Below are 20,580 nucleotides of genomic sequence, written 5' to 3'. Positions count from 1 at the left end.
CCAGGACTTTGCCTCTTCTGGTCCCTCTGCCTGGCCTGCCCTTCCCCTACTCTTAGCTTATCATCTTCACGTCCCAGTTTAGAAGTCACCCCTGAAGTTCCCTGCAACCCCCACAGCTGGATGGAATGCCTCTCCTCTGTTCCCTCTGCATCTCATACTTAAATTGTTCATTGTGGGACGGAGTGGATGGGGTTGCGTGCCTTGGTGGGGAGTCCACTACCCGAGAGGGGGGCGGTGGATGAACGAGCAAGCAGGGAAAGAAAAAAGTTGTTCACTGAAGGCAGGCACAGTGGTTCATGCCTATTATCCCAGCACTTTGGGAGGCTAATGCCGGAGGATAGCTTGAGCCCAGCAATTTGAGGCTGCAATGAGCTACGATCCTGCCACTGCACTCCAGCCTGGACACTAGAGCAAGACCCCATCTCTCTCCCTCTCTCTCTGTCTCTCTCTCTCTCTTTCTCTCTCTCTATCTCTCCCTCTCTCTCACACACACACAAACACACACACACACATTGTTCACTGACTCCTCAAGGTCTAATGTACTCTCTGTACAAAAAATATTGAGTTTGAATTGTTGAATTGTAATAAGCTGTTTATTTACTTTTGCCCCATGAGGCTATGAATTCCTCCAGGACAAATTGGCTGGCACTTTGCTGCTGTTTAATAAATATCTGACAATGCATGAATGGCAGTGTCCTGGCAGAAAACAGAATAGTCCACCTTGAGAGGCAACAAGTCCTAACAGCTTTTTGTTTACACAGAGGCTGATCCACCCTCTCTCAGAGATCTTAGAGGTGGTGCTGAAGATTGATAAATAGGACACGAATGCCCTAGGGTCCCTTCTGACATGGTGATTATGGGGCAGTGACTCTGGCAGGGGGCTGAAGGGGATCTTTGAAAAGCAACCAAGGCCCGGTGAGCTAATCACTTGATATCAGTTTGGTTCACAGCAGCTTGTGTTCCAGAAAGGTAAAGGAAATTCATTGCAAAGCAGCAACAGGCGAGGAGTTACTCTGGTTCTGTTGTCCCCCAATCCAGAGCCAGCCTCTGTCACACCCACCCCTGCTCTCCTGAGTACTTGCTAGGACTGCCTGGACTCATTGGGCATAGAGAGGCCCCACAAGCCTGAAGGTGAGGCAAGTTTCCCAAGTGCAAATGCCCGGAATGTCTTTTAGGCACGTCCCCCTGCAGCCAAGCCTAGCCAAATCAAGCTATTTGTACTCAGTACCTACGGTGTGTCAGGCTCCAGGTGAACAAGACAGACAAAGTGACTTTTCCCAGCCCAGTGGAACTTGGCCTCTCGTAGGCCATCAAGACAGGGGACAAACCAGGTTTCCAGGCCAGGCCCGTCAGTGGTGATGGATGTACCAGCTATTTAGAAGGCCAGCATGGGCATATTTGCAGGATAGGCCAGGAACTCATATAGTGCTGTAAGCCCCAGGGCAGGTGACATTCAGAGCTGCTGGGTAGACTGTTTGCTTTCTGCAGTCTACCTCTGAAGCACAAATCTTTCCAGAATATCTTCATAATCCCCAGGAGTGGAGGATCCAGAGGGAGGGCTTGTGCCAGCTCTCCCTCACCTCCACCCTCACTCCAGGGAGAGAAGCCTTAGAGGCCTGGACCTCCTGAGTCAGCGTGTCTGAATGGGGGCTGGGGACAGGAGCCCAGGAGTGCAGCGTTCAATGTGCTGCTGATTATCTACGTGACCTCAGGCAAGCCCCTTTCCCTCTCTGAACTTTAGAATCCTCCTCTGTAAATGAGAGATCAGCTACATCAGTGTGTCCTCATCTTGGCTATGAATCAGAATCATCTGTGTGGTGGCAAGACTAAGGACCTGGAAAAATGCAGCCTCCTGGGCCTCATCCCAAAGCTCCTAAGGAATCTGGACCCCCAAGGAGGAGAGTGGAGAGGCCTACTCAAGCCCTGGCCCCCAATCCTGGTCCCAGTCAAGGAGCCTCTGAGCCCCCTCATGCCTTCCCCAGCCTCCTCCACTGAGAAGCTCTTTGGGATGCAATGTTCCCAGCCACATTCCATCTCTTTCCAACTTCTGGGCCTCCTTGGGCCAGGGCTGGAGTAAGCTGCCCCAACCCATCTCTCCAAAGAGCTCTGGAGCCTGAAGCACTGGTCATTGAGCAGTTTATTACCATCAACCTGTCCCCAGCTTTCCAGCACAACAGCCAGCCCACACTCTAGACACGCCTTCACTCCAGTCCATTCTGGCACCTAGCCTCAGTCTTCACCCTCCTCCCTCCTCCACACACTCCTTCCCCCAGCCCTCCAAGGCAGCACCAGGCCTGAGGGCCACACCTCAGCTGGGGGAGGGGAGGGAAGACAGTGAGACAGACAGAAGCTGGGGAAAGAGGAGCCAGGGTTGGCCCCAAGCTTCTGTAGCCACCACTCCAGGAAGGAGGGAAAGGGGGCAGGGCTGAGGCTGGGGCTGGGGTTGCCAGGTGATGACAGTTCACGTGGTTCAGGCAGGAGGCTCTTCTCCAGGAGGTGCAGGGAAGCCACTCAGGTCTCGGCCAATGATCTCACTCACTGTAAAGGAGGGGCAGTTGAGAGACTGGGCTAGAGGTGGGTCCCCTCCTTTTCCAAAGACCCACCCCCAATCCATTCCAGGCAGGTCTTAATCTAGGAGGCCTCTAGATTCCTCCTCTACTGGCTTCTATTCCACTGGGCCTCAGTTTCCCCAACACGTCTTGACACCTGCTCCGAATCAAATCTTGCCCAACTCCCTCCATGTGGGCTCCCAGGCACCCGTCCTAGCCCTTTCCTGCTGGCTTAGCCTGAAATGTCAGGGGAATCGGTATCAGCAGGGCCAGAGATGGGTGTAGCCAATGGGAAGAAGGAGAGGCAAAACAGGAAAGCTCCTCCTCACCAACCCTGACCACAGACACCGTGTTTAGGGGAAAGCTGAGGCAATGGCAAGTGTGCTTGACTGGGACCTCAGCAAGCTACCATCCCTCTCTGGAACTCAACGCCTAAACTTGCAAATTGAATGCGCTGGATGGAATGATCTTGAAAGTGCTTCTAGCTCTGAGATTTTATGATTTGGAGCAGAGGACAGAGGCAGAGACAGGAGAAAGGCTGAGACAGTTACCCCATGCACTCTTCAGAATTCAGTTAATTGGATTCAGGCAGCCACAGGCATCAAGAACATGCCTCCTGGGAACCTCCAACTGGCCCTGAGAGACCAGGGATGCCCGATCTCTGAAAAGCCCAGCTCCAGCCCTCAGCAAACATGCAGAGCAATCTCTTGCACACACTCACACTCACAGCCCCCAGTCCCACACCCACCTTCCTCCAGCGTGATACCCTGGATAGGGACACTGTCTCGGAAGCCGCTGCTGTAGCCACCCCTGGATTTCTCCTGCTCCGGAGCCCCCTCCCCAGGGCCATAGCCTGGCCCTACCTTATTGTATCCCTCAGCAGGTAGGGGATGCACATCACTCTGGGAAGGGAAGGGGCCTTCAAGCGGTGGGGATGCAGGAAGAGGAGGCGGCCGAAAGGGGGCTGGCGGAGAGAATGGCAGCCCCAGGGAGAAAGAGGAGCCCCGCCCTCCATACGGGTCACTAGGGAAGGGGCGGGGAAGGAAGGAAACTGCAGGTGGTTGGGCACAACCTGTGGTACCCCTAGTCTCAGGGAACATCCGCAGGCCCGGTCTGTAGGATGGTGGGGGCCCCGTCTGGGGGTACAGAGGGGGCATGCCATAGCCGAAGCCTTCTGATAGGTAAGGAGTTTCGCAAGCAGGGTCTTCATGGGGATAGGAGGGGTAGGGGGGCCTGGGTGGTGAGAAGTCCATGTCAGTGCCAAAGGGGGTTGCCGATGCTGAAGGGAAACCCCGCAGAGATGAGTCCGGTAGGGGCTCCTCTTTGCAGATCACTGGGAAGACAGGAAGTGGGAGGACATGCTGGTGAGAGGTCTGGTAGTCTCCCCACTGCACACCTTCCAGCTGCCTGCTCCTCCCAGGTTCCATTCACCCCTTGGCCCCTCATGATGAGTACTGCTTCCCTCTGCTCCTGCTCCAGCTCCCCATATCCCTATACCCCCACCATGGGCTGTCCCAGAGCGCACCAGGCAGAAACCTGAAACTCTGGGTAGGACTGCGTTTCCTCCGCCCATTGGAGACATAAAAGTAGACCTGGACTGGCCGGGAAACCCTCTTGTTGCTGTACTCGGGGACAGTCAGGGTCAGCGTCACCTAGGGAAGAGTAAAAATGAGGCAGGGAGCCCTCGGGCATCTGGGCTTAGCCCAGCCTTTCCAGGGGCCCAGACTCCACCTCCTAGCCTTCTCCATTTTCTAAGATGCAAAGTTCATTCCCTAGAGATGCACCTGCTTACAGAATGGCCAGTCTCCCTCCTCCAGAAAAGTCCACTCCCCTGAGCAAGAGGACCCAGCTGAGAATCCCCTGCCTTCTCCCACCCCCGCCCCCCAGGAGGTATCCAAGTGACACTGGTACCTCGTTGCTCTGCAGTCGGTTCACTGTGGCCTCCTCCTCCCATTGCAGCTTCCCATCTGTCCAGAGGGAACAGAGAGCTGCAGCCCAACTCCAGCGCCCCTGTCCCCTGCCCTAGTTCTCTGCCATTTCCCCTCCTGTTAGAGCCAAGGCCAAATTCAGAAGGCCCTAGAAGGTCTGACACACAGAGGAGCCCACTGCATGTTAACTTAATATGAGTGGAAGAGGTAGGGTTTAAAACTGTCCTCAAGGTATAGGGAAGCAAACTGAGACCAAGGGAAATGGCAGGGCCAGCCCAGAAACCAGAGGGAGTCAGTAACGGAAGCAACCCTTGAGCCCTCCCACCCAGCTCCAAACATCCTTTCCCATGATAATGCTGAGAAGGAAGACCAAAGGTAGGAAAGGGTCCTAGCTCGACAGAACGCAATGAGACCCCCAAGTATCATGACCTAGAACCTCTGGAGAAGCTCTGACATGGTCCCAGGATGCTAAATTTGGATATAGGGGCCAGAGGCAGTGGCTCATGCCTGTAATCCCAGAACCCACCACTCCCACCTTGGGAGGCCAAGGTGGAAGGATCACTTGAGTCCAGGAGTTTGAGACCAGCCTGGGCAACATGGGGAGAACCTGTCTCTACACAGAATATTTTTGGAGGATTGCTTGAGCCCAGGAGGTTGAGGCTGCAGTGAGCCGTGATTGCAGCATCACTGCACTCCCCTGGGTGACAAAGTGAGATCCTGCTACCAAAAAAAAAAGAATATAGGGACTGAGGCTCTTGGTGAGCAGCGTTTGGAGAGGGCAAAGGCCTCAGGTTGGTGCTGGCAACTCAAACCCTCAGTCTTCCCTTCCTCCACTCCTGTAGCTCCATCTTGGGGCACCTAACAGGCTCTGTTAATCACTGCCCATAACTCAAGAGGGGCCCAGCGGGCAGCTGTGAGGGTGTAAATCACCTCTTCCCTTCTCCTCATATACCCTATCTACATGGGGGTAAATTATCTCAAAGCAGACTCCTCTTTATTAGACAGAATGTGCATTGCTTCCATTTGTTCAGCATCCTCAACATTTTAGATTGCTGTCATACCCATCCCACATGGAAAGCAGACAGTATAATAGAAAGGGTAGTCTGTCTGTCCCATTTTACAAATAAAAAAACTGAGGCTCCACTGGCCAGTTTAGTGACAATGCCAGAGATGTTTCACCTGCCACTCCCAAGCTCTCCCTGCCTGCCCTCCCCTCCCCAGCAGGTACTCACCAGGACCCCTCTCAATGAACACCACCTTGGAGTCTGGCAGGAAGTTGGAGCCAGTCAGTACCAGTTCCTCGCCTCCTCTCACAGAGCAGGCACTGGGGCTGTAGGCCTCCACCTGGGGCAGCTCCTGGGCTGAGCGCTGGGCTGCAGAGCAGTGCAAGGAAGAGGACTGGCTGGGCTGGGCATGGAGGGGTGGCCTCCTCTGTCCCCACCCTCTTTGGGAAAACTGCCACAGGGCTCTGAGGGAGCCCTCCTCAGCAGTAGACACACAAATAAACCAGTAATATCCATGGAGTCACATACACCATGTAAGGGGCCGCTCCCAGAGCAGAGAGAGGGTTAAACAGGGTAGACCAGGGAGTTTCCCAAACAAGGGCACAGGGCACCCCAGGAATAGATAGGGTCCAGTGTCACTCTGGGCCACCCCAGAGACAGAGTCTGTGGCAGGGGCAAACTAGAATAGAAAGAAGCTGAGTCCTCTATAGAGCTACCCAGGACAGACAGGGCACAGGACGCTGCAGAGGGAATGGGCAGACAGACACACACACACAGACAAAAGAGTTGCAAGAGACAGAGACATGGCCCAGGGCCTCTTTGCTCACAGCACTCGATGGGCACCGATGCTGCCTGTACTGAGACGACCTTCCCGCCGCCCTGGGGCACGTGTACCCGGAACACCAGCCGTACACGTGTGTTTTTGCGCCCGATGTCCGTCTCACCCTTCCGAAGCTCAATGTCTGAATTCCGAAGCTTCAGGATTCCCGCGCAGTCAATGCTGGAGGCAAAGGATGGATGGCAAGCCCTCCTAGCTGAAGCCAAAATGGTGATACATCCCTAAAGAGGGAAGTTCCCGCCCTCCATCCAAAGCCTTGAATGACTTTCGATGAGTGCCTAGGAGGCTATTTTCTAACCCAGAGATGGCCTCTCTGGGGTACCCCCAACCCCAAAAGTCCTCTTCCAGATGGTGGGTAGGCCTGAAGCCAGCTCCTAGGAAAAATGTCTACCTCTTCTGGGAAAAGGAAGAAGTGGGCTAGCATAGGCCCAGTGGAGAAAGCTAGTACAAAGCCTGCGGACTGAGGGGAAGTTGCATGGGACTTACTTGGCCGCCATGTTGTTCTCAGGCAGCAGAGTCATCTCCAACACCTTGGTGCCACTGACTACGGCTTCATAGCTGGCCGTGGCCACCATCTTGCCTGTGATACGGTGCACCTGATAGAAGGCATGAGGCCGCAGGTTCCTTTCATCTGCAGTGCCGATGAACATCTGTAGGGTCAGTGGCTTCTCACTGTAGCCTAGGAGCTGGCAGAGGGAGAGAGCGGCCACCTCATTGAAATCCCCACCGTCTCATCCTTTATTCATCCCTAGATTTTCAGTCTACCATGGGATGGGAATGGTGAAAGATAAAGGATATCCTGCAAGGGAATCCCTTGGGGAACTGGGCACCCGTTGTGGAGAAAACATGGCCTGGAGTTCACAGTGTTTTTCTTGGAATAAAGCCCAAAGTGGGCTGGGCAAAGGCAGAAGAGCCTCCAAAGAGACTGGCCCAACTCAATACAGAGAAAACTTAACTCCCAGTGACTTTTGTCCTCAGCCTAAACCCTCCCCCATATCTGGCGGGCCACCATTTTCCAGAGTAGACATGAGGCTGGTGTCCCATGGGATGAGCTGAGTGGGGGTGGAAGGACAGGAGTAGAAAGTATATCCGGGTCCTTGCACCCCTCCTCCCCCAACTCCAGCCCCTCCCCCAGGCTGCCTGCAGGGTCAGAGCTGAGAGGGAGTGTGGGAAAGGGCAGTGCCATGTGTCTGCATAGCTGGAACCTATCTGGGAGAGGAGAGAGGATATCAGGCCTGCTGTCTGTCCTTTACCTTGACTACGGGGTGACCGCCAGGGGCAGCTTTGACAGCTCCACGGCTGCCTTCTGTCTCATAGTGGGCCCGGTGGTGGGCTCTAGGCTGTACCTCGATCCTCAGCTCCAGCTGCTCATATTGGCTGGGCAGAGGCCAGTCCAGTGGGGGTAGGGCAGAGGTCCTGGGTGGGAGAGAAGAGCATTGATCATGTGCAGCCTCAGACCCCAGTCAGGCCCGTACTGGATCTGTGAGGGAGGAGGGGGTATGGGTCTGAGAGAAAGGAAAGCACAGAAGAAATAAAGAAGTACATTAACACTTGTGAAAAGAAGGGAAAAAAGAATTTTTTTTAAACTAAAAAAAGGACAAAGAAATGAAGAAATCCAAAAGTCCAGAAGCAAGGGGAAGTAGGGGACAGAGCCCCTTGAGGTGTGAAAGATGACAACAAGCCTAAAACTCCCTTCTTCCCAGCTCTGAGCGCAGGGGTTGGGGTGGAAAGGCTTCACTTGGATACAGAGGATTCTCAAGCCCATCTCAATCCCTAGACCTGGATGGAAAGAAAAAAGAAGTGCCGCTTCAGACCAGAAAAGGCCTCAGATATGAACCCTTTGTTTTACAAATTAAAAAATTGAGGTGCGTTGGCTCACACCTATAATCCCAGCACTTTGGGAGGCCAAGGCAGGGGTAGGGGATGGTGTGAGGATGGCTTGAGCCCAGGAGTTTGAGACCAGCCTGGGCAACATGGTGAAACCCCGTCTCTACAAAAAATACAAAAAGCAGCTGGGCGAGTTGGTGCTCCTGTAGTCCCAGCTACTCCTGCTGAGGCAGGAGGATTGCTTGAGCCCAGGAGGTTGAGGCTGAGTGAGATCACACCACTGCACTCCAGTCTTGGTGACAGAGCAAGACACTGTCTCAAAGAAAAAAAAAAGAGAGAGAGAGAAAGAAACTGAAGCCAGCAGCTACTGACAGACCTAGGACTGAGCACATTCTGCTCTCAAGCCAGCTCCCTTTCCACTAGTTGGGGCTTGATAGGTGGAGTTCCAGGGAGCTAAGGGTTTCAGATGGGACAACTTATCCTGTATTGTGCTCCCTGATACCCTAGGACAGTGGATCTCAACTGGTAATTGCCCCCCAAGTAATTGCCCAGATATTTGGCAATGTCTGAAGACATTTTTGGTTTTCCCAACTAGGGGAGTGGGTGCTACTAGCATCTAACGGGTAGAGGCCAGGGAAGCTGCTAAACCATCCTACAATGTCCAGTACACCCCCACATAACAAAGAATTATCCTGCTCAAAATAGTAGTGCTGAATTAACAGTGCTGAGGTTGAGAAACTTTGCCCTATGGGAAACCCAGGGGTACCAGTGTTAACGTTTCTTTCCCCTAGAAACTTTTCTGGACAGAGCCAGCTCAGTCTAACATCTCAAGATTTAAGATTATTGAAATGGGCAAGATTCTCTGAGGGTGGAAGGAATAGAACTGCAAGTTTTAATATGAATTATTTGACTTGCAAATATATGCTATTTTATTCAAGTTAGCAGCTATACTTTTAAGCTAGTAGGTCAGGCTCTAGAAATTAAGGAATGCAGAAGGGGAATTTCCTGCAACAGAGTGGAAATCTGCTTAGGTCTGGCACCTATTGAAAGGGCCAGAGTGGAAGGCTGAAATCCAGCCCAAGTTCCACACTCAGCCACATGCCAGTGCAGAGCGGGGGCTTGGGAGCACTCTATAGGCTACAGGAACACCTCCTTAACCTAGTTGATCCTCCTACAATAGCTAGGGGTGGGAGGGTGGAGGGGCTTTTTCTAATTGTCCCACAGGGAACTGTTGCCCTCTTGTAAATCATCCAGAGGTGCACTTTTTTTTCTAGTTCTCTTTAAAACCAGGTAGTTGGCAGCTGCTGAGCTGGTTGCAGATACTCTTTTGAAATTCAGAGGGCATGAAACTAGTGTCTTCAAATCCATCCCTTGACCCTCCTGCTCCCCTACTGGAATGGCTAGAGAGAGCGGTAGTGCCAGGCGCAACCCTCACCTGAAGATAGGGCTGTGTCCCCCAATCCGGGCCTTGGACCAAGCGAGTGGGGAGGGCACTGCCAGGTAGTCCATGCCAGCCACCTCCTTCCGGGAACCTCCTGGAGGAGCCACAGACTCCTCTGCTCCCAAGGGCAGCTTCCCATTGCATGAGGCAGGCTCCTCAGACCGAGGCAGAGCCACTGCCTGCTCGCTGGAAGTCCGCCGTGTCTTCTGAGGGATGCTCTCAGCTGGTGGGGCCCCCACATAGTCAAAGGGACCAGGGGAGCCCGGGTCCCGGGCCAGAGGCAATGGGGGTGGTGGAGGTGGCTCAGACCCCTCTTCCCCCAGGCTGCCACGGCGGGACAGAGCTGGGGAGGCTGAAGATGGGGTTCCCGAGCTGGAATAGCGCCGCTTGCCACATGGAGAGGCAGGCCGCGGGGAGGCTGGGGTGGGCCCAGGAGCACTGAGGAGTAGCCAGCTATCCTCTGGCCCTCGGCCTCCGGGGCTTGGACCATACAGGCTCCAGGGATCTTCGGGGGTCCATGGCCGAGGGGAGGCCCGGGGCGAGGGCAGCGGGGAGCCCAGGCCAAAGCGGGAGGCCGCCTCATTTAGCTCAGACTCCACCTCGTCGCAGGCTGCATACAGGGCTGCCTCGTCAGAGGCATCGGAGAAGAAGCTCCACGAGGACAGGCTGCTGCTGCCAGGGCTTGGGCTGAAGAAGGCCCCCCCACCCTGGCCCCCTGCTTCTCTGTAGCCCCCAAAGCCTTCTGGTGGGGGGTAATCTCTAGGAGAGCCGTCCCCCCAGGCATCAGGGTTGTCCTCCAGCGCTGCTGGCGGCTCCGGCGTGGGAGAGATGGAGGTGATGCGGATGCTGGGACACTCGAGAACACGGCCACCCCCAGCACCCCCAGCACCCCCTCCTGGTCCTCCCAGCCTCACCGACCTGGCGGGCTGGCTCTCCCAGGTGCCAGGTGAGGGGGCTGGTCGCGGCGGTGGCGAATGCATGCCAGGCCGAGGGGGTGGAGGTCGGGGAATACCGATAGGTGCAGCGCCATAGGGAGGGGGCTCTCCCAAGGCCAGACGGCAGCATGGCGGGGCATCCTCTGAGTCCAGTTCTGTCAAAATGGGAAGAGGAGCAGAGGGAGAGGGGGAAAGAGAGAAGCAGGTGAGATGGCTATGTTCCTTGAGTGGCCAGGCCGCAAGTCCTTCTATGCTCCCTGCCCCTCAGCAAAGAGACCTTCTGAGCCACAAGACAAAAGCAGAGTTGGACCTGGGAAGATGGAGGAGATTGAAGCAGGCATGCCAGGCCTTTGCCCACTGGCCCCTGGATCCTAGGACCGAGGGTACCCGATCCAGTGGGTCTTAAGGTGAGAGAGGTGGGTCCAGAGGGGCTGGAGCTGGGGCTGGGCCTGGAGGCGTGTTTCTTGAGGCACTGGGCTGGACTGGGGGCGACTCACACATGAACCCAATTAGCAGCGGTTCCCAAACCCCCAAACGGCGCTGGCAGGAGCCCCAGTTGCCATCGCAACCGTGGCCAGAGGGGAGGGGGGCGTCAGGGCTGTGGTGACGAGGGGAGGTGGCTCCTCCCTCTCTCCTCGCCATCTAGGGGCGGAGGTGCAGCCGAGGGGGTGATGCGTGCTGGGCCCAGCCGGGGGAAGGGGGGCAGCGGGCAGCGCGGATTCGTGCGAGCGGCGGCCGCCGCCCCCGGCTCGGTCCCCGCCATCTGCCTCTCATTGCGGCCAGACGGGGGAGGGGGAGGGGCGCCCCAGCGAGGCCTGACAGCGCCCCCAGCCCCGGGCGTCCAGTCGGCCGGGCCAGAGCTCGGTCCGCCAGGGGCCAGCTCCAGCGCCAAACCTCCCCTTCCCCTGGCGGCGCCTGGTGCTGTTGGGGCCGTAGTTCCCGCCCGCCCCCCAGTTCAGTGACAGGCGGCCCAGCCGGGAGGCGGCGCACAGCCAACAGCACCCCCACCCCCACCCCAGTCACGACCTAAAAAGGAGAAAGTGGTGCCCGGGCCCCCAGCCTCACTTCCGCAGGCCAACGAGTCCCCCCGACTCCCTTCGACCTCTGACTCCCTCACCCCCCACCCTAGGCTCGCTGCCTTAAATTCCCCAGACTCAGGATCCCCGGCCCTCCTCTCACTGACCCCAAGACCCCTTCCCAGCCCAGCACTAACCTTCCCCCAATCCCCCCGCGCCCAGCGGGGGGGCCTCCTTTTCCTCCCCGAACACCAGCTTAAATTCCAGCTCCTCATCCTCGCAGCTGGCCGCCCCCATGGATCCGGCAGGAGCCCCCAGGTCCCGGCCTGGGTGGGAGGGGGGAGTTCAGGAGGCTGCTGTATCTTCACCCGGGTGGCTCCCTCCCTCCCTTTCTCTGAGAAGCCCCCTCCTCCGTCGCTGCCGCCTCCCTCCAGAAGCCCCCTCGTTATTATAGAAACTTTTCCAAACTTTTTTCCCCCAAACTTCTTCAAAGCGGTCCCCCCCCCAGCCTGTCCCTGATTGGCTGCCGGGGATGCTCCAGCCCCTCCTCCAGGGATGAGATGGGAAAACCACGCGCCCCTCGTCCTCCCCCACCCTCCCTCCCTCTGTCCTCTCTTCAGTCCCTCCCCCTCAAAAAAAAAAAAACTGAATTGGAAAACGGTCCTTCAAGAGTGATACTAATGTTGCCTATTGGTCCGCCGTTGTGACAATCATTTCCCGCAGAGAGCCCAGCCCCCACCTCCCCTAGTCTCAGTTCAAGGTTCTGGGTCCGAGAGCCTTAAAGGGGCCACATCCTGGGCCCCCAGGGTAGAGAGCCCACGGAAGACCCTTTTTTAAATTCTGAAGACTGTGTAGATAGCACCTAGCAAGGCAGAACCACTTCTCCTCCCCTTTCCCTCCAAGCCTGAGGCCAGGAGGGTCCTGGGGGCAGAGTGGCACCGAGTTGCTCGGAAGAGGAAAAGGCTATTCTTCCGCCTCCCTTGCCTGGGGCTACTCTGCCCGGGCCTTCTGGAAGTCTTTGCGCTGCCGAATCAGCGCCTCCATCAGCCATTCCTCCAGGACCCCCAAAGATGAAGAACGCTTAGCCAGCCTGGATGCCTCTGGGAGCAGTCCGAGCCAAAGAGGCTTTGAGAACTGTCCCTAGGCCCACAGCCCTTGATGGGCGTAGATCCAGGCCAGGCTTTGCCGCTGCCCTTGTCCCAGCCACCCAGAGGGGCCGTGAATTAGCCTCCACGGGAAGTTGGCAGCCTCCTCCCTAGAACTGTAGTCTGGAATGAATCTCTGACCCGATAGCATCCCACTCCGGCTCTTCTAAAAATCCTTGCCAGGTTTACTAGGGGCCTGAAACCTCCGGACCCTGTGGGTTCCCCTCCTCTTCCCCCTCCTTGGCCCCCCCGCCCCCAACAGGCTGGACACCTGTCACCTGGGCTGGAGGAGGAAGGAAGACCTGGACTGGAGTTTCCGGGAAAGTCAGGCTTGGAGAGGCCTGGGTTGTGTGAGAGGGAGTTAGATGGGAGATTCGTGACTCGGTGGGAGATACTGGCGAGGCTGGCGGGTAGGAGAGATGGGAGGGTGGTTATCATTTTCTCCCACACACACACAGTTTCAACCTCTCTTAGAGGCCGCGTCTCCAGTCTCTAAATCCCTCCGGTTCAGGGCCGCACCCCCAACGCCGCCCCATCCCAGCAACTAAACGGTTAAGCGACGGCCCCAGGTCAGACGTTTACAAACACTCAGAAGCCGGGCGGGGACCGCGCCCGTTACTCTAATGAGAAACAGGCTCTACGGGACTGGGGAAAGAAGGGAGGGCTGGCCCGACGGGCCGGAGCTCCGCAGCGGCCGAGGCGGCTTCCCTCCCTCCCCTCGGTCCTCCCTCGGGCCCGCCCAGGGGACCACCCCCCCAGTCCCCGGGGACCCCAGTGACGTGCGGAGCTGCCCCGGCTCCGAGCCCAGGGCCGCAACACAGGAGGGGCGGGGAGAAGAGCCCAGGCCGGCGGGGAGAGAAGAATGTTCCGAGGCCGAGCGGGGAAGCGGCCTGGTTTGATTTTCTTCTTTCTTTTTTTTTTTTTTCTTTTTTTTTTCTTTTTTTTCCTTTGGTTGGTCTCCTCAGGTTACATTTCCCTTCCAGCTTCATCTCGGAAATAAAGGAAGGAGAAACCCACGGGGAGGGAGGACGAGGAACACCTCGACCCATCAACCAGCCTGTACCTAAGAGGGCAAGGGAGGTGGGAAGCGGAGGCGAGAAAAGCAGGGATAGAGACCCCGAGGCCCAGCCCCTGTTCCCCCAGACTCTGCCCCTCCCCGGCCCCACTCCCCGCAGGCACAGCACATGCAGACGCACACATTCTTTTCAAATGTCATATTTCCTTTGATCCTGGGCAGCGTTTCTCCATGTGTCTGGCTCAGCTCCTGCCCAGCCAACCGCCTTCCCCTCTCACCCCTGTTTGTTTTCCTGGAGAACCCTCCTCCTCCTAGCATCTGGAAGGCCCTGAGGGCTGGCGTCGGCCCTCATTCCCCTGATGACTCTGGCCTCTCCTCCCATGACTCAATTTCCCCTTCATGGGTGTTGGGGGGTAGGGAAGGGAGGAGCAGAGGGGAGAGTGGTTGAGATTGTTCAGAGTGCCAAGCTTCTCTGAGGCGGGGGGCGGGGGGGCATCCCCTTGACTCTGAAAACCCTCCAATCTGTCTCGGCTGCGGCAGAGAGATGGAACTTATGACTTCTGAAATGCTCGGCCTGGCGTTGGAGCCTGGGCAACAGCGGGTAGTTGCGGATTTAAGTTGCCCTACACTTCTGCCCCCTGGCGACCAGAAAGACCCAGCCCCCCCGTCCTTGGTTCGCGGTTTCTCTAGCCGCCTGGCCTCGGTCTCAGCTCCGCTGCCTCCTAGCGCACATACCGGAGCACAACCCGGCTTTCTTACCTTGGTTGGTGGCTTCTGCTCTGCACTTTAACAAGCATCATTCAACTTCCTTGGAGGTGGATGTTATTTATTTCTTTTTTTAATTACACAAGATGCAGTCTTCTCTTTTCCCCAGAGGTCTAAATAAAGCTAATTAATATGCATTCTTCTTGTAAACAATTCAAGCTATACAAAAATATGTAGTAAACCTTGATGGTCCACCATTTTGTATGCCTTTATTAACATGTACGCACACACACATGCTCTTTTTATGCGCGTGACAAGCATTTTTCTTGCTTTTTTTTTTCCTCACTTAACAAATGGTTGGAAGATCTTCTCCCATAGTACCATCTGAAAATGATGATGAAAATGCCCACCTTTTCAGTAGATAAAGTGACTTTTACAAATCAGGTTAGCAATAGAGTTGATCTGGAACCCAGGCCTCCTGGGTCCTTGTCAAGTTTGCTAATTCATTCCATCACATTTTACACAGGAATCTGTCCCAGGCTTGGCTCCTCCAGTAAGTAGAGCCTGAGACAAGAACAGGATGTAGGTAGTTTATAGTGAAAAGCAATCAGAAGGAACAGAAAGAGAAGAATGGAAAAAGTGAAACTGGAAAGAAGAAAAGCCAGTCCAAGGGTGTGCTACAGAACAGGTCACCACTCTGAGCAACTGGGATATTATCCTACTGAGACCATCTGTATAGCCACAGAGAATGTAATTGAAGAGAAGAGGCCAGCCTTGTCTCTACTAAAAATAAATTTTAAAAGGCCGGGTGCAGTGGCTCACCCCTGTAATCCCAGCACTTTGGGAGGCCAAAGCAGGCAGGTGGATTGCCTGAGGTCATATACACAGATATACTATATACTATACTATATAGCATATACACAGATATACTATATATATACTATATATGTATATATGTACAGATATACTATATATACACAGATATACACTATACTATATAGCATATACACAGATATACTATATATATACTATATATGTATATATGTACAGATATACTATATATACACAGATATACACTATACTATATAGCATATACACAGATATACTATATATATACTATATATGTATATATGTACAGATATACTATATATACACAGATATACTATACACTATACTATATAGCATATACACAGATATACTATATATATACTATATATGTACAGATATACTATATATATACTATATATGTATACATGTACAGATATATATGTACATGTATACATATATATCTGTACATCTGTATATATGTATACACAGATATACATGTATATAAAGTATATATACACAATGTATATATATAGTCATACAGTATATACATATACACAGTATATACACAGTGTATATATAGAGTATATATGTATACACTGTGTATATATAGAGTATATATGTATACACAGTATATATATATATACACACACAAAAAAAGTTTCTTTATTGTGTATATACACACATATGCACACACAGTAAAGAAAGGGAAAAGCAACGGGTTAAAATAATTTCAGTTATATTAATATACTTCGGGGTTTTTTTTTTTTTGAGATGGAGTCTGGCTTTGTTGCCCAGGCTAGAGTGCAATGGCATGATCTCGGCTCACTGCAACCTCTGCCTCCCAGGTTCAAGTGATTCTCCTGCCTCAGCCTCCCAAGTAGCTGGGATTAAGGCATCTGTAACCCCACACCCGGCTAATTTTTGTATTTTTAGTAGAGACAGGGTTTCACCATGTTGTCCAGGCTGGTTTCGAACTCCTGCTTCAAGTGATCCACTCACCTTGGCCTCCCAAAGTGCTGGGATTATGGGTGTGAGCCACCGAGCCCAGCCCACTTTTTGTTTTTAAAAAAGGAAATACGTATCTTATATTGGTCGATCACAGGGATGAAAAATAACACTACGAATTCTGTTTTGAGTCTTAAGTTTTACAAAGTTGTCAATGACCTTATCAAAATTGATTTTTAGCTCTTTGGGAGGCCAAGGCGGGCAGATCAATTTGAGGCCAGGAGTTCCAGACCGGCCTGGCCAACATGGTGAAACTTTGTCTCTACTAAAAATACAAAAAAATTAGCCAGGCATGGTGGCACATGCCTGAAATTTCAGCTACTCAGGAGGTTGAGACACGAGAATTGCTTGAGCCTGGGAGGTGGAGGTTGCAGTTAGCTGAGATTGCACCACTGCACTCCCGCCTGGGAGACAGAGCGAGACTGTCACAAAAAAAAAGATCTTCATGTACATATCTTCAATAGGCCATATAGACAGATTTGTGGATCTCTCCCACTCCTAGTTGATCAAAGAAAACTTCTTGGTAATTTTAATTTTTACCGAGATACCTTTCACATACCATAAAATTGACTCTTGTGTACAATTCAGTGGGTTTTAGTATATTCACCAAGTTGCACAATTATCACCATATCTAATTCTAAGACATTCTCATCATCCCAAAAGGAAATCTTATACCTATTAGTTAGTAGTCACTCCGCATTCTCCCTTTCCTCCAACCCCTAAAAACCATGAATCTACTTTCTGTCTCTATGGATTTGCCTGTTCTCGACATTTCATGTAAGTGGAATTATACAATATGTAGCCTTTTGTGTCTGGCTTCTTTCACTGAGCATAGTATTTCCAAGGTTCATCCATATTGTTTTATGTATCAGTATTTTATTCCTTTTTATGGCTGAAAGCTAATTTTAATTTTGAAAAATTTTTTCCCATGCAGTAACAGATATATAAATTTCTAGAAAAATACATACATACATATTTTGAGACAACGTCTTGTTCTGTGGCCCAGGTTGGAGTGCAGTGACACAATTATAGCTCACTGTAACCTTGAACTCCTGGGCTCAAGTGATCCTCCTGCCTCAGCCTTTTGAGAAACTAGGACTACAGGTGTGTCTTAATTTTTGTTGAGTCAGTCTCCCTGTGCTTCCCAGGCTGTCTGGAACTGCTGGCCTCAAGCAATCCTCTGGCTTCAGCCTCCCAAAGTGCTGGGATTACAGGTATGAGCCACTGTGCCTGGCCTTAGGGCAAAAAAATCTTAAACCTAAGGATAAGATTGATGAGATTCATAAAAGCCCAATTTCACAATAAATTCCAGAAATTTATTTTCAATGTGTCTTTATTTCTCCAGGATTGAAGCTAATAGCTTTCAAGTGTCTCAGTTGAAAAATGTTAAACACAAACATTCCAAGTTTTCATATAATGTATCATTCATTACTTCATAACATATCACTTCCAAAACTTTATAGCTTTAAACCACAATGATCATTATCCCTCATGATTTCTCTGAGTAAAAAATACAGATGATGCAGTGAGCAAGGCTTCTATCTGCTCAGCAATGTCTGGTGGAGAACTTGAAGGCTGGGAGCTAGAATCACCATGTCTAGCAGTTTATGCTGTTGACTGAGACTTTAGCTAGGGCAACCAGCTGTACCATGTATACACATGACTGCTCCATGAGGCTTGGGCTTCCTTACAACGTGGCAAGTATCAACAGACAGAGAGAGAGCTCCAAGCAGAATCTACCTCCTTTTTATGACCTAGCCTTGAAAGTCACATAGCTGTACTCCATTGATCAGACAGTCACAGTCCCTGGCCAGAATGGAGGGGTGAGAACATACACTCACACCTCTAGGTGGAAGCAGTATCAGATATACCGTATGAAGAGCATGGAGAATGGGGTATACACATGTGACCATCTTTGGGAAACACAATCTAACACAGTCTGCCCTCTGGTCAGAACAGTTCACATTCCTCCCATACTCATCCCCACCCTACAAGACCCTGAAGCCTCATCCCATTGTGGTACCAAGCTCAGGCTCAAAAGCCTAGATCTCATCACCTAGATCCTGGAACTCAAGTGTGAACAAATGCCATATAACAAATCACCCCCAAAATTTAGTGGCTCCATTAAGATACATACTATCTAATTGGGAGATAAGACGTAAACACATGAAAAGTTTCACAATAATAAAAGAGCTTAACAAAAATAATTCAAGAGATGTAATAGAGCAATTCTATCAATAGGAGACGTTTGCTTGGAAGCAACGCAAACTGACTTCTTGTAACTTAAGCAAAAGAAGAATATTATAAAGGCAGACCTCACAGAACCAAAGAAAAGGAGAATCAGTCAGGCTTCAGGAAGAATAGGAACCAGAGTGTTTCTAGGGAACTAGTCAGCAAGACCTGATGCACAGCCTTTGCATGGTGCTGGGCATTTTCAGTTCCTGGTATGTACCAAGTTCTTCCTGCTTCCAGTACTTGGCAGATGCTGTTTTTCCTGCCCAGATCTCTCTTTCTACACAACCCCCTTTGCCTGACTACCTTCTACTCATCTCTACATCTCAGCTACCATCTCAGATCTTCATAACACACATCCCAATTATAATAAGATAACTGCATAGGCTGAGCACGGTGGCTCACACCTGTAATTCCAGAACTTTGGGAGGCTGAAGCAGGCAGATCACTTGAGCCCAGGAGTTTGAGACCAGCCTGGGCAACATGGAGAAACTCCATCTCTACAAAAAATATAAAAATTAGCCGGGCATGGTGGTGCACACATGTAGTCCCAGCTACTTGGGAAGCTGAGGCAGGTGATCACTTGAGCCCAGGAGGCAGAGATTACAGTGAGCTGAGGTCATGCCATTGCACTCCAGCCTGTGTGACAGAGTGAGACTCTGTCTCAAAATAAATAAATAACTGTGTAAGTACTTATTTAATGTCTGAGTACCCCACTAGAGTGGCAATTCTCTAATGAGAGGTACCTTGTCTTATTTCTCTACCTACATCTTTACTTTTTGATTGATCTAATTAGCAAATACCTGTGGAAATAAATGAAGGCTAACCAATGAAAACAGGCAAATACTATTTATTCAGAGCTCTCTATCACAAGTTAGTCAGCCACCATCACTTGCATTTTGGCAGAAACTCAAAAGCAGGCAGAGGAGTGGGAAAGCTTTATAGTGGACAAAGGGAAGGCTTCAGGTATGCCCTGACTGGAGGCTGTGGCATGGGGAAGTCATGTGTGGCCTAACTAGAAGTGGGGCATCATTTCACCCGCAAAATGGAGTAAAGAAAAAAATATTATAGAAATGGTGCATCATACAAGATTGGTTAGGAATGCATATTTGGCTTTCTCTGATTGATCCTAAGTTGGAAGAGGGGACAAAAATTTAAAAAGCTGTCAGTTATTAATCAAGTCCTGGCTCTTTGGAGCAGATTTTTGCAAGGGTTGTTGTTTGGATTCCTGGGCTGGTTGCTAGAGATAGTGATCTGACTTTTCACAAGTCTGACTTTTTTTTTTTTTTTTTTTGAGACAGAGTCTCGCTTTGTCACCCAGGCTGGATTTCAGTGGCATAATCTTGGCTCACTGCAACCTCTGCCCCCTGGGTTCAAGCGATTCTCCTGTTTCAGCCTCCTGAGTAGCTGGGACTACAGGTGCCTGCCACCACTCCTGGTTAATTTTTCATGTTTTTAATAGAGACAGGGTTTCACCAGGTTGGCCAGGCCGGTCTCGAGCTCCTGACCTCAGATGATCTGACCACCTCGGCCTCCCAAAGGGCCAGGATTACAGGCATGACTTTTAGGCAGTTGGCTTCCTGGGCTGGTCATGATAGATAATGGGTTAGTTTCTTGGACTAATTGCTGCATATTGTGGGTCAGGGTTCTATTTTTATATATGGCCATTTTCCATCTGTATATTCAGTCTCTTACATTTATTGAACATCTATTATGTGCCATACACCATGCTAGGCTCTGGGATACAAAGATTGATGAAGATCATGATTGACGATTGAAAAGTTGACAAGATATGGTCTTATCAACCTCCTCCTGTCTTACTGCTGCACCATCCTTAGCATCCCACTGCATGGGAGATGACCACTTATGGTGCAGCCGTCACATCCATGTTTAAACCAACAAGAAGAGAAAAAGCAGAAAAATGCAAACTCTCTTCCCCCACACACCATTTATATTTACTATCGATTGGCCAGAATTTAGTCACATGGCCACATATAGCTGCAACAGAGGCTAGAAAATGTATTTATTCCAAGTTGACGTATGTCTGGCTAAAAAATGACAGGATCTATTACTAAGGAAGATGGCGAGAAAGGTTGTTGGACTCAACTAGCA

General features: G+C 51.6%; 1 protein-coding gene and 1 long non-coding RNA gene across 10 annotated transcripts, besides 3 other annotated features; one reads left to right on the top strand and one right to left on the bottom strand.

The window, feature by feature from the left end:
- Nucleotides 1–571: 571 nt before the first annotated feature.
- Nucleotides 572–13,265, bottom strand: NFATC4 (nuclear factor of activated T cells 4). Of its 9 annotated transcripts, none has more exons than NM_001320043.2 (11): nt 12,962–13,265; nt 11,736–11,864; nt 9,582–10,677; nt 7,573–7,735; nt 6,806–7,005; nt 6,309–6,481; nt 5,710–5,850; nt 4,461–4,516; nt 4,075–4,201; nt 3,298–3,882; nt 575–2,538 (listed from the first exon to the last, which is right to left on the bottom strand). In NM_001320043.2, exons 1-11 carry the CDS (start codon nt 13,119–13,121, stop codon nt 2,471–2,473), a joined length of 2,898 nt encoding a protein of 965 aa, NP_001306972.1. In that variant the 5' UTR covers nt 13,122–13,265; the 3' UTR covers nt 575–2,470. The 9 variants fall into 9 exon arrangements, with proteins under 9 accessions (NP_001350610.1, NP_001350611.1, NP_001185895.1 ...); NM_001198967.3 differs by having other exon boundaries at nt 3,622–3,882; NM_001363681.1 differs by lacking the exons at nt 11,736–11,864; nt 12,962–13,265 and adding an exon at nt 10,800–11,178 and having other exon boundaries at nt 572–2,538.
- Nucleotides 9,348–10,191: an enhancer, noted in NCBI's record as "H3K27ac-H3K4me1 hESC enhancer chr14:24839191-24840034 (GRCh37/hg19 assembly coordinates)". NCBI's record gives its function as "activates a minimal SCP1, AML or CMV promoter by ChIP-STARR-seq in naive H9 embryonic stem cells {active_cell/tissue: H9 hESC(naive)}" and the evidence as "EXISTENCE:reporter gene assay evidence [ECO:0000049][PMID:30033119]".
- On the top strand, nt 10,791–14,660 carry LOC124903291 (uncharacterized). Its single transcript, XR_007064085.1, has 2 exons — nt 10,791–10,929; nt 13,649–14,660. It is a non-coding gene; the product is annotated as an uncharacterized LOC124903291 (long non-coding RNA).
- Nucleotides 11,154–11,533: a silencer, noted in NCBI's record as "silent region_5641". NCBI's record gives its function as "represses an Ori minimal core promoter by ATAC-STARR-seq in GM12878 lymphoblastoid cells {active_cell/tissue: GM12878}" and the evidence as "EXISTENCE:reporter gene assay evidence [ECO:0000049][PMID:35858748]".
- Nucleotides 13,252–13,561: a silencer, noted in NCBI's record as "silent region_5640". NCBI's record gives its function as "represses an Ori minimal core promoter by ATAC-STARR-seq in GM12878 lymphoblastoid cells {active_cell/tissue: GM12878}" and the evidence as "EXISTENCE:reporter gene assay evidence [ECO:0000049][PMID:35858748]".
- Nucleotides 14,661–20,580: the final 5,920 nt, after the last annotated feature.

Source organism: Homo sapiens, chromosome 14 (genome assembly GCF_000001405.40).
Source record: "Homo sapiens chromosome 14, GRCh38.p14 Primary Assembly".
Classification (NCBI taxonomy): Eukaryota; Metazoa; Chordata; class Mammalia; order Primates; family Hominidae; genus Homo; species Homo sapiens.
The sequence above is the reverse complement of the archived record's forward strand: the minus strand, read 5'-3'. Positions and strand labels throughout refer to the sequence as shown.